Below are 12,503 nucleotides of genomic sequence, written 5' to 3'. Positions count from 1 at the left end.
ACACTGGTTTCAACCAGTGTAGACAGACTCCATTGCACATTAGGCTCAACCACCCCGGCTCCAGGAGACAGAGCCTGATGGACCAGACCAATGTCTGAGGGGAAGCCCATTCACTCCTATTTAAGGCCACAGTGGTCTTTCTGCAAGATTCCTGCAGCTCCAGCCTCGCTGGTCTTCCTACTCTGCAGCAGTTCATAGGATAAAGTCCCAAGTCCCTCCCTGGTTGTGAAGACCCTGCACAGATGGGTCTCCAGCCACATGTCACCTGCTTCTTCACTCTGCTGGCGACATGGGCCTTCCCACAGCTCCCAGATGGTGCTCCTCATGCCCTCTCACACATTCCCTCCACAGGAAGCCCTTTGCATGCTCTTGCCTGTGCCTGCCTGGCATGCTGGATTCTCTCTCCCCATCCTTTCCTCCCACACTCCCCACCAACCCTGCTTAGTTCCCACTCCTCCTTCAGACCGCAGCTGAAGGGCCACCTCCTCCGAGAAGTCCTCCTAACCTCTCAGTGCAGGTCAGATTGCTCTTTGGTAGGTCTCATAGTACCTGAGTGTTTATTTCCTTATATTCTTTATATCCTTATCACAGCCTAGAATCACACATTAGTCATTTTTTTTATTAATGTCTTTGTCTGGCAGAAAATGAATTAGTGAATGAGGAATAAATGAGGAGGGTCTCCATCTAACTCACAAGGGCAGGGACCACCCTTAGCTTTGCTCACCTCATGTCCACAGGGCCTGGTACAGTGCAAGACACCTAATACCTGCTCCATAAACATGCAGGGGCAGGGCGAGGGACAGTGACAACAGGCCTGGCACCAGGAGTGTGGGACTGAGAATCATTTGGCTCCAGGTTTCAACGTTGATGATTCTAATTTAGTTCAAATAAATGTCACTCATCAGGGCCAACACTGGTCATGGCTTGGCAGGGAAAGGGCATCTTGCCCTCAGTCACCAGCACCAAGAAATACTATTTCCCAGAAATGTATGGTGTTCTACGTGCGGAGTGCGGATGTAAGACCCAGGCCACCAACCTGGGAGGACAGCTGTGTCTGCTGCCCCCAGCCCCAGGCCTGCATACGGACTGTCTTAGTCCATTTCTGTTGCTGTAAAGGAATCCCTAAGGCTAGGTAATATATAAAGAAAAAGGGTCGGGCGTGCTGGCTCACGCCTATAAACCCAGCACTTTGGGAGCCCGAGATGGGCAGATCACTTGAGGTCAGGAGTTCGAGACCAGCCAGGCCAACATGGTGAAACCCCATCTCTACTAAAAATATTAAAAAAAAAAAAAAATTAGCTGGGCATGGTGGTGCATGCCTGTAATCCTAGCTACTTGGGAGGCTGAGGTGGGAGGACTGCTTGAACCTGGGAGACAGAGGTTGCAGTGAGCCGAGATCACACCACTGTACACTCCAGGCTGGGTAACAGAGCGAGACTCCGTCACCCCACCCGCCCCCCCCCCAAAAAAAGAGGACAGGCATGCTGGCTCACATCTGCAATCCCAGCACTTTAGGAGACTGAGGCAGAAGGATTGCTTGAGGCAAGAAGTTCAAGATGAGCTTGGACAACATAGGGAGACCCCATCTCTATAAAAAAAAATTAAAAATTAATGGACATGGTGGTGTGCATCTGTAGTCCCAGCTACTCAAGAGGCTGAAGCAGGAGGATTGTTTGAGCCTGGAAGTTCAAGGCTGCAGTGAGTTATGATAGCACCACTGTACTCCAGCCTGGGCAATAGAGCGAGACTCTGTCTCTAAAAAGAAAAAAAAAAAAAAAAGGAAAAAAAAAGCGGCTTATTTGGCTCACAATTCTGCAGCCTGTACAAGAAGCATGGCACCTGCATTTGCATCTGGTGAGGGCCTCGTGCCCTTCCACTTAAAATGGAAGGAGAAGAGGAGCCGGTGTGTGCCGAGATCACAGAGGTAGGGGGTAGGTGCTAGGCTCTTTTTAACAACCAGCTCTTGTGGGAACTAATAGAGCAAGAACTCACTCCCTGCCTCACAATAGCATTAATCTATTCATAAAGGGGCCACCCCCATGACCTACCTCCCACCAGGCCCCACCTCTAACACTGGGGATCACATTTCAAGGTAAGATTCACAGGGGACAAACATCCAAATTATTGCACAGATACTCTCTGACTTCCTAAAAGGTGGCTTTGGCAATGGGGCCAGGGCTGCTTCTTGGTGTCAACCCACCTGCACGGAGGCTTCCCCAGTCTCTCGGTGGCCCAGGCTGCATTGCTGAGTTTCTAAGGGTCCGGGAATGAATCCAGCCAGTGCAGGCTAGAACACCACATCACAAATGACAGGTAGTTTTGTACAGGGTAAAAGTCACAACTTTTTTCCATGACCAATTTGTAAGCCTCACGATCTGCCATGCTGATTTACTGACCACAGGGTCACACATCCTCCAGCTGATAAGAAATGAGATGGCGTCTGCCGCATCCTCTGGCACCTGAGCTAATGCAGCTCTGTCCCCGGGTTGTCTGGGTCCGTGGGTTTCCTCTGGAGGGAACACAGCCGCTCTGGAGTCAGATGAGCCCTGAATATGGCGCCAAAGACAGCACCAAACAGCCTACTGTCACCACGCTGTCACCATGCAGATTGCTCATGCCCAGCCAACTTTCTGAGGTTGCAGGACACTGATGCCATATCTACATCCAGGCACCAACCTCAATTTAAAAAAAAAAATTTATTTTGAGACAGTCTCGCTTTGTCGCCTAGGCTGGAGTGCAGGGGCATGATCTCGGCTCACTGCAACTTCTGTCTCCCAGGTTCAAGTGATTCTCCTGCCTCAGCCTCCTGAGTAGCTGGGACTACAGGTGAGCACCACCATGCCCGGCTAATTTTTGTCTTTTTAGTAGAGACTGGGTTTCACCACGTAGGTCAGGCTGGTCTCAAACTCCTGACCTCAAGTGATCCACCCACCTCGGCCTCCCAAAGTGCTGGGATTACAGGCGTGAGCCACCGTGCCTGGCCGATCTTTTAAAAACATATTTACTTATTTATTTCATTTTTTGCTGTGCCACTGCCGGGTCACATTGATCTCCTTGGGCCAGCACTATATAAATCTCCAGTTTATAACTCGTCACCTTCTGGTTAGCTGAAAGGCTGGCCACTCATTCCACATGGTGTTTATCGGCTCTAATTGCCACGGTTGCTCACTAAAGAGCAGCCATGCGGGGCGCGGTAGCTCACGCCTGTAATCCCAACACTCTGGGAGGCCAAGGTGGGCGGATCACGAGGTCAGGAGATCGAGACCATCCTGGCCAATATGGTGAAACCCTGTCTCTACTAAATACAAAATTAGCCGGGAGTGGTGGCGCATGCCTGTAATCCCAGCTACTCGGGAGGCTGAGGCAGGAGAATTGCTTGAACCCAGGAGGCAGAGCTTGTGGCAAACAGAGATCGCAACATTGCACTCTAGCCTGGGCAACAAGAGTGAAACTTTATCTCAAAAAAAAAAAAAAGAAAGAAAGAAAGCTGCCATAATCCTGTGTCCTCTTTCCTGCTCACAGGTTCCCCGCTGCCCCACGTTTCTCCAGTGTGGCTGCCACGCACCAGTAAATCAGGGAGGGAGGTTTTTCCAAGCTGCAAAGCAGCAGATGTAGCTAAGACAGGGATCTCAGATTCCAGGCCAGGCAGCAGGCAGGAGATGGGGACATCAGCCAGGGACCTCAGCTTGGGCCACACCTTCCCCATCAGCCCCTACAAGCACAGCCGCACTCACTAAAAATTTCTCCAGCCAGACGCATCAGCAATGATCAAAGCTCCCCTTCCTCTCTTCCATCAGCAAAACCACAAAAAGCCTATCAGGCTGCCTCTGGCAGGAACTCAGAGCTCAGAGCAGGGGAGCAGCCTGCGCGAGGTTTCCAATCAGGCAAATCTGACTCTCCCCTTTTTAAGAGAACTGAAGACAAATTCTGAGAGTAGCCCACCAGACACACTTTCTCAACAACCATACGGCAAAAAAGTCGTTTTTGAACTTTCCCAGACTTATTAGCTTACATAAACAGAGATTTGAATAAATGTTTAAAAAATGAAATTCCCTGGATACCCTGTAATCAGTAAATGTTCATTATGGAAACACAGCAAATATGCATGAAATTTCCCAAGTGATATTCTGGCTACAAGATTATAAAGGCATCTCTAACAGCAGGCTGAGTTACAAAGCATCCTCTGTCGTCGGTTACAGTCCGAGGGGGATGTTCTACCAAGCCCAGGAGGTCAGACGAGCCTGCTCTCCTCTCCCAACTGGAGCCAAGGAAAATCAAAAGATGCTCATTTTGCCTGCTCAGGCAATTTATAAATGAGCCCCCACGCTGCCTGATGGATGCCTCTCGATAAATAATTAATCCTTGACCTTGCTTTAAGAAAGCCTTGACTTTTTAATTTGGGGTCTTTTTAAAAATCAATACCCGGGAAACATAATTCACTCTTGCCGAGTCTGATTCCAGGTTAATAAATAAATAAGTAAATAAATGAGCTGCACTGTTTGTGTGTCCCAGGGCGACTGGGCCAGGCAATGGGTCAGGTTCCGGCTTTGAGGTTTTTCTGTGTTCAAATGCTATTGGATAATTGATCAGCCAGTCCCACTGGAACCAACATTCAGACCCTCAAGAGGTCCCTCTCTTCAGGGTTCCAATGTTATTCCTCCCGTGGGTCACTTCACAGAGGCCAGTCTGCTGAACGCTCCTGAATGAACTCCCACGCCGCCTTCTGTGCTTGGGGTGTCCTGATTAAAATTAAAAGAGGATCTCCTGCTGGGATGAGTGTCCTTCCTGTGGCCTGTCTGCCTTGCCTTTGGGACAGGGCACAGGGTGGGCAGGAAAGGTCATGACAGCTGGAAAATGTTAAGGGCTCTGCCACACCTGCTCCACGGGTGCCCTGTCCTAGGGCAGGACTTAGGGAAAGACTTCCCCACAGGTAGGCAAGGGTCAAGGTGAACTCAGAAGAGAAAGGTTACCCAGGAAAGTGGGCTTGGTATTGTAGCTCCTGGGGGCCTTGGGCGGCGGTGGGAAATAAAAGGGGGTTGATCTGCCTCTTACCCCTCTGTCCCCCGCCCCTCTCCACCATCCACTCCAAAGCAGCTACTACCTCCCTGCACCCAACGCCTCTCCCACGTGCTCTGCTGCTGCGCCAGATCGCGCCAAGCAGATGGAGAGGGGCCGGGACGCGCGTTCCCCTTAACGGAGCTGATCACGGCTCCTGAGCCAGCGGGAGTGGCCCAGGGACGCAGAGTCCTCTGGGACGCCGGAGACGACTGCAGGACAGAGAGCCCCAGGATCGGCGCCTACTTCTGGGTTAAAACAGACAGCCGGGCAGCAGCGCCCACAGCCGAGGGCGCCGCAGCCGCTTCAACTCCGGGTCGGGGTCGCGGGCCTGGAGACAAGATGTACGCGAAAGTTAGGGCGGCGGGAGTCCCGCACTGGAGAAGGAATCGGGGTCACATCAGACCCAAGCCCCAGCATCGGGCACTGCCAAAACCCGTGATCGCCCTCCTGGCCCGGCTGGCCTCCAGCGAGGCCAGAGCGGGTCTGCAGAGTCGGTAGCCGGAGTTGCAGCCGCCGTCAGAGCTCGGCTCGGTCCCGCGGCCAAACGGATCATTTCCCCGCCCCCTGGAGCCGCCCCAGGCTCCGACTCCCGCACTCCCGACACACGCACGCACACACCTTCACACCATCGCTGACGCACGCACACTCGCCTCCAGCACTCACAGGCCGGTGCCCTGGAGAGTTGCGGGTCGGGGACGCGCGCGACGGAGCCGCTGGGTAGGAAGCCAAGGCCACTTAAACTTCCCCCATAGTCTCTGCCCGCCGCAACCCGTCCGGAGCCCCGGCTCCGAGCGCGCCAGGAAGCCCCAGCGCCCCGAGCGCTCCTGCCTGGCCCTCGGCGCTCGCTGCTCAGCGCCCGACGCCGCCTCCCCGCGGGCAGCACCGAGGGCCAGGAGGCGGAGCGGGAGTCCGCAGGGACCAAGAGGGCCCGAGGGACGGCAGTTCCCAGAAGCGCGGCAGCGAGTGAGATCCAAGGAGAGAAAGTCTAATTAAAGTTCCCGCTACCGGGGCCGGTCCCCAAAGTGCAACCAGACCCGAGCCCCGCGCGCCCACCTCCGCCCGCAGCTTCGGACTCCCATTCGCGTGCGGTGGCGGGGATGGCGAGCGGTGCAGTCCGGGGCCCGCTCGGGACCCCTTCCTGGCGTCTCTGCAGGCCAGGAGCCTGCGCAGGGCGGGAACAGGGGTGGGGCAGGGGCGCAGCCACTTACCTGGCGCAGCGGACGCACCCGAGGCCGCGGGCGCCTCCAGTCCGGGAGCGGTTCTCCGCGGCGGATCCTCTGCTTGGGGCGCGCAGGCGGCGGAGAGGACCTCCGACCCAGCTCGGGCCCGGTGCCTCCGCCCGCTCCAAGCGGAACCCAGTGCGATCTGTGGGCGAGCAGCGTGGGGCCGGCAGCCGGAGCGTGCGGGGAGCGAGAGGGCGCGGGGCGGCGTTCCTCTTCGGCCCCCGGCGCGATCGGTCCCCCACCTCCTGCTGCCGCCGCCGCCTCGTCCTCTCTCCTCCCCGCAGCACTGCCGGATCCGGCTTGCGCGCCGGGAAGGCTCCCAGCGAAGTGAGAGCGAAGCCTCCGGCGAGGCTGGAAATAGCGCCGCGCCCGCCCGGCGCCCCGCCCCCGGCCCGTGCCCCGCCCCGCCGTGGTGGCGGCTACGGCGGTGGCCGGGCCGGGCGGGGATCGCTCCAGCGATGCACTCGGCCCTCCCGGGGGCTCGCGGGCGCCGCGCCCACGCGCGCTCTGCGGCTCCCGCGGCCCCTCTGGCAGCGCTCTCAGAAAGAGTCGCTGCTGGGCGCGGTCCGGCGGCCGCGGGGGTGGGAGCGGTCGTGGCTGGGGCTGCGCCGGTCTCCCGGTTCAGGAGAGCCGGACTCCGGCCTGACGCTAGGCTCCAGACCGCGGCCAGTGCTGCCACTGCCTCGGTGGGTCGCACGCGGCGCCAACCCGGGAAAAGGACCAGGCGTCACCGGGGCGGGCCTTGACCACAGCGGGGCAGGGGCGCGCGCCCAGGACCCGATGCTGCGGGGGCGCAGGGCCGGTGAAAGGCGGAAGATTGATCCTGAGGAAGATTCTGGGATATCCCTGGGCTTCAGCTCGCGTGGAATTCGGTCAAGGCCGCGAGCTGCCTCAGGCCCGGGTGTCCGCATCCATCCTCAAATCCCTGGGGCTCTAGATTCTGCTGAAAGTGCCCTGCGAACAGGTGCTCCCTTCAGGACTTCATCCTGGAAGTTTGTGTCGGGTCACCAGCCTGAGAGCGGGGCCAACCGACCCTCTTCATACACACTCGGGAAAACAGCGTGGAGGGTGGAACCGGCCCACGGCCACACAGCACCGGGACAGAGTAGGGACAGGAACACGGGGCCCTGGATTCGGGTCCTTGTTCTTCCTAAGAAGAGGCAGCCCCAGCCTGCAGGGGACAAGCAGGCCTTGGGAAGGGGGGCAACTGCTTTCTCACAGGAGCTGGAGGAAACTGTGCACACAGTCACCTGTTAGTCTTGAAGGGACACTCAGTATTTTCAAACAACAGCAGAGAAGCCTTTAATAAAGTGAAAGACCCTTACTCTCTCCTCTCTAATGGTACCTGCTGGCTGGTTGGCCTGACTCCTACCAGCTGACCTAGAGTGAGTGATGGAATTGGGGAGTGAGCTGGGCCCATGGGTCTTGACTGACCAGAGTGGGGGACACCAGGCGGAGAGCAGAGCCACTCCTGGGGACGGCCAGGGAGCCCCTCAGCCCCAGGGCCATGAGGCCTCCTTAATGCCCCAGGTAAGCTCAGAGCATCCAAAAATAGACCAGGACAGATAAGAAGATAAATAGAAGCATGACAAAGAGATCATGGTCTTCCTTTAATTCTTGCAGCAACAGAGTAGACATTATCACTCCCGTATTACAGATGAGCGAATTGAGATGCAAAAATGCCACCATTTTGCTGGACTCCACGCATCTGGAGAATGGCCCAGGTGTGATGATTCCAAACTGGGATAGGCTTTGTTCTGGGGTTCCCTTTCCAGGACTTTAGGCTCGGAGTGACCCAGGCCTGGGGCTGCGCTGGGACCCAGGCACACTCCACTGGCTGCACGCATGAGGGGAATGTGTGTGTGTGTGTGTGTGTGTGTGTGTGTCTGAAATCACCCTCCTCCGCCTCAGTCAGGTGCAGATTGGAGGAGCTGAGTGCAAGGGCCAGGGACTCAAGTGTCAGGAAAAACAGGGCAGTGGAACCCTTATTCATCCTACATCCCAAAGCTGTTGGAGCAGAGCAGGAGAGAAGGTAGGAACAAAGAGAGGGGAGAGTGGAGTGAGCAAAAAGTCACTTGCCGGACTAGCTCACAGTGCAATGACCCCATCCCTGTCCCTGTGGTCCCCTTACCCCACACTTGCAGCCCCTCTTGCCACCCAAGGTCCTGACCATAGCTTGGCTGGGCAGCTGCCCATGAGCTCCCTGTCTGCAGTTAGGCCTGGAACAGAGCACACAACTTTTGCCACAGAGGCCTGATGGTCAAGAGAATCTCTTCAGTACCATGAACACTCCAGAGGGCAAATGCATGCACACACACACACACATGCACACACACGGAGAGAGAAAGAGAGACTTAACTGCAATGGGGAGATAATAGGAGCTCCCATTTCCAGAGCCCAGCCTCAAAGCTGGAAAGGGGGCTCTGGACCATGAGTACTTCCATGCGACAAGTCTACACAGGCTTTATTTCCCTGGGATGCATCTATACAGGCTTTGCCGTGACCAGTGAGTGGAGCGAGCCAAGCCATCTCAGCAACACTGTGCATCTGTGTGCCGCGATCCTCCTGGGAAGGATGGTTTTTCCATTAGCTTTCCCAACTGTACTTATTAGCACTTATTTGCATCTAATATTCAGGCAGACACCACTAGGAATCAATAACGCTGCATTCCTTTGACATTCTCTCCATTTTCCATTTTTAACTCAGACTTCCTTCTTGTTTTGAGAGGCCATGGGGGAAATCCCCAAAGGGGGCCTGAGGCCCCTGGCACCAACTCGCAGTGAGTTTTCCTCCGAGATTTGCCAAGGGCTGCGTGCCCTTTTTTGAAAGTCAGGCTCAGCCTCTGCAGCGAGGGAGGAGCAGGAAGGCTGCAATTCCCTGCAGGAAGCCTTGTGTGCTCACTTGCGATTTTTGATATGTGTGTCTCCACCGAAAGATTAGTGGCAAACTTGTCTCTTTGCATCCCAACTAAGGTGAAAGACATTTTTAGTGCATGGCCCCATGCGCCCACAGCCTAAGCCCCAGAAGGGCTAATAGAGAGGTTCAGGTGCCAATCTGTTTGCTGCAACAAGGATACAGGAAAGAGGAGGGGGCTTGGCTCTGGGACGCAGGCAGACCCCCGCCTCCACTGGCTCTGGGCTCCCTTTCCTCAGGCCGTTCCTGCAAGTGAAGGTTCCTGCCCGTCTTTGGGCTGGAGGCTGAAGGTGGCACAGTGGGAAGCTGAGACTGTCTCACATTGTGTTTGGCAAGACTGAGTCTTGAGTCCTGAACCTTCCATCTGTTGCCATGAGAGGAACCAGAACAGGCTGGGCATGGTGGCTCATGCCTGTAATTCCAGCACTTTGGGAGGCTGAGGTGGGCAGATCACTTGAGGCTAGGAGTTTGAGACCAGCCTGGCCAACATAGCAAAACCCCATCTCTACTAAAAATACAAAAGTTAGCAGGGCATGGTGGTGCTCACCTGTAGCCCCAGCTACTCAGGAAGCTGAGGCAGGAGAATCACTTGAATCTGGGAGGCAGAAGTTGCAGTGAGCTGAGATTGTGCCACTGCACTCCAGCCTGGGTGACAGCGTGAGACTCTATTAAAAAAAAAAGAAGAAGGAGAAGGAGAAGGAGAAGAAGAAGAAGAAGAAGAAGAAGAAGAAGAAGAAGAAGAGAAGAGGAAGAAGAGGAAGAAGAGGAGGAAGAGGAGGAAGAGGAGGAAGAAGAGGAAGAAGAGGAAGAAGAAGAAGAAGAAGAAAAGAAGAGGAAGAAGAGGAAAAAGAAGGAGGAGGAGAAGAAGAGGAAGAAGAAGAAGAAGAAGAAGAAGAAGAAGAAGAAGAAGAAGAAGAAGAAGAAGAAGAAGAAGAAGAAGAAGACGAGGAAGAAGAAGAAGAAGAAGAAGACTTGTTCCACAGAGGAGTTTGGGAGCCATCTATACTGGCAGGTCGGGAACACCTCATCTGTCTCCCTGCATCCCATGGGAGGAAGAAGGGAATGATGGGATGGGCCAGGAGGTCTGCTTCAGCTCTCCCAGGTGCCAGCTAGGGGGTCTTGAACTTGTCTCCTAACCCCTCAGAGCCTGTTCCCTGTATGCAGAGACAATAGACTGTCCCTGCAGAGGAAAGGTGAAGGGTGTCATGGCATTTTGGGAATTGGAGTCCTGTGACCAGACTGCCCTTAGCCACCCACAGACTAGTCACCTCAGGGTATGACGTGGCCTGGCCTTGCTTCCACGTCCAACATCTGGCCCTGTAATGGCCTCTGCAATATTGTGACCCCAAGGCTTCCTGAAGTCAGTTCAACACACAGACAGGCCAGTGACGTGCTGATCAGAGTGCCATCCAGGCGGGAGACTCCTCCTGGGAACGGACCTGCCTTCCTCAGCTGCTCTCTGGGGCCTGTGTGGGCTCCGGGCCATGCCTTCCCTCCCCAGGCCTCGACCTCCCCATTCGAAAGATGAGGGATGGGGGCCCAGGATCTGAAGGCCTGCTGTGCAATTCCATGATTCCTAAAAGTTCCTCACCAGGGAACGTGGCCCAGACTCATTTCCAGCCAAGGTATCCCTTGGCCACCTTATGGGATGAATGTTCCTTCCCAGGCCTTTTCCTCCTCTCTCCTTTCCCCTTTTCTGTCACCTCTTGGGTTTTCAAGGAGCTGGAGGGTCACTTTGTTTCCTTCTGAGTTGAGTTGTCTGAAATTTCCTGATGTCAATATGCCTGGGTGGGTATCCCCTGCATAAGCAACATTGCTGGGGGTTCTGGGCATCCCTGAACCCCATATACCTGTCACAATTTCGAAATTTCACCATCATTCCTCAGGGTATAAGAATGGTTTCTCTTGGCTGGGTATGGTGGCTCACGCCTGTAATCCCAGCACTTTGGGAGGCAGAGAAGGGCAGATCACAAGGTCAGGAGTTCAACACCAGCCTGGCCAACATGGTGAAACCCCATCTCTACTAAAAACACAAAAATTAGCCAGGCGTGATGGTGCACGCCTATAATCCCAGCTACTGGGGAGGCTGAGGCAGGAGAATTGCTTGAACCCAGGAGGTGGAGGTTGCAGCGAGCTGAGATGGCGCCACTGCACTCCAGCCTGGGTAACAGAGCAAGACTCCGTCTGAAAAAAAAAAAAAAAAAAAAAGGAATAGTTTCTCTTTAAAGAGAAGTTTTTCTGGGGCAGGCTAAAGTGACACCAGTCCTTAACACAGAAGAGAGTTGGTGAACAGATGTGGTTTTCTAGAGAGTGCACAACAGAAACTATGACTAACTTGCAAAGAAAGGGGAGACTTTATTTTTCTGAGACAGAATCTCACTCTATCACCCAGGCTGGAGTGCAGTGGCATGACCCTAGCTCACTGCAACCTCAAACTCCTGGGCTCAAAGGGTCCTCCCACCTCGTTCTCCTGAGTAGCTGGGAACACAGGTGTGCACCACCATGGCCAACTAATTTTTTATTTTTTATTTTCTGTAGAGACAGGGTCTCACTGTGCTACCTAGGCTGGTCTCGAACTCCTAGGCTTGAGTCATCTTCCTGCTTGGCCTCCCAAAAGTGTTGGGATGATAGGCATGAGCCACCATGCCCTGCCAGACTTTCTTAAAAGGACACTGGGGAATCCAACAGAGCAGAGAGGCGCTGAGTACCCAGGAGGGAAGAAGGCAGGAACCAGGGAATAAGGTTCGAGTACTCTGGGGGCAGCTGTTGGCTCTCTAGGATGGGTCGCCATCCCTAGAGCTGCAGACCACTCACTGCCTTGGTGGCCCTGATGCGCTCCCCACAGCCTGAGGTGGGCAGGCCTGCAGGGGGCTTTGCTGACCCCAGAGCCCAAGACAGAGCCATGCCCAAGCCAAGTCCAGCCCCTCCATGCAAACCAGGCTTGGAGCCAGCTTGGCTACTCTATTGAGGTCTTGCCAAACTCAAGTTCATTTTGATGCTTCTTAATTAAAAAAAAAAGATCTCCACTGGACTGCCTGCTCCTGGTCACTCCTTCAGTTCCCAAGTATCCTTGAGACGGATGATCCTCCAGTGGCGGGGCTCCTTCTCCAGGCCTGCCCGTGGTGGGGCGAAGGACACTGTCTAAGGTGATGATGAACTGCAGGAGGGGGTCTAAGACGCTCTTGACAGAAATAGTAGAGATTCTTCTTTTTACTTTTGGGGTAAAGAGTTTAAAATTCTAGAATATGTCCATGTCACAATTCAGTAAATCCTATTTAATTGGAACCAAACTAATTCAGCACTCACGTC

At 54.7% G+C, this 12,503-nt stretch overlaps 1 protein-coding gene across 2 annotated transcripts in view, besides 1 other annotated feature; it reads right to left on the bottom strand.

Annotated features, from left to right (window-relative positions):
• Window positions 1-6,610, bottom strand: part of CHST8 (carbohydrate sulfotransferase 8) — a 151,557-nt gene extending 144,947 nt beyond the window's left edge. For both annotated transcript variants that reach the window (NM_001127895.2, NM_001127896.2), the window contains exon 1: window positions 6,267-6,610. The gene's annotated coding sequence lies outside the window, so the exon portion shown is untranslated. The remainder of the gene's footprint in view (window positions 1-6,266) is intronic.
• Window positions 6,905-7,649: an enhancer, noted in NCBI's record as "H3K27ac-H3K4me1 hESC enhancer chr19:34111820-34112564 (GRCh37/hg19 assembly coordinates)". NCBI's record gives its function as "activates a minimal SCP1, AML or CMV promoter by ChIP-STARR-seq in naive and primed H9 embryonic stem cells {active_cell/tissue: H9 hESC(naive and primed)}" and the evidence as "EXISTENCE:reporter gene assay evidence [ECO:0000049][PMID:30033119]".

Source organism: Homo sapiens, chromosome 19 (genome assembly GCF_000001405.40).
Source record: "Homo sapiens chromosome 19, GRCh38.p14 Primary Assembly".
In the NCBI taxonomy this organism is placed as follows: Eukaryota; Metazoa; Chordata; class Mammalia; order Primates; family Hominidae; genus Homo; species Homo sapiens.
The sequence above is the reverse complement of the archived record's forward strand: the minus strand, read 5'-3'. Positions and strand labels throughout refer to the sequence as shown.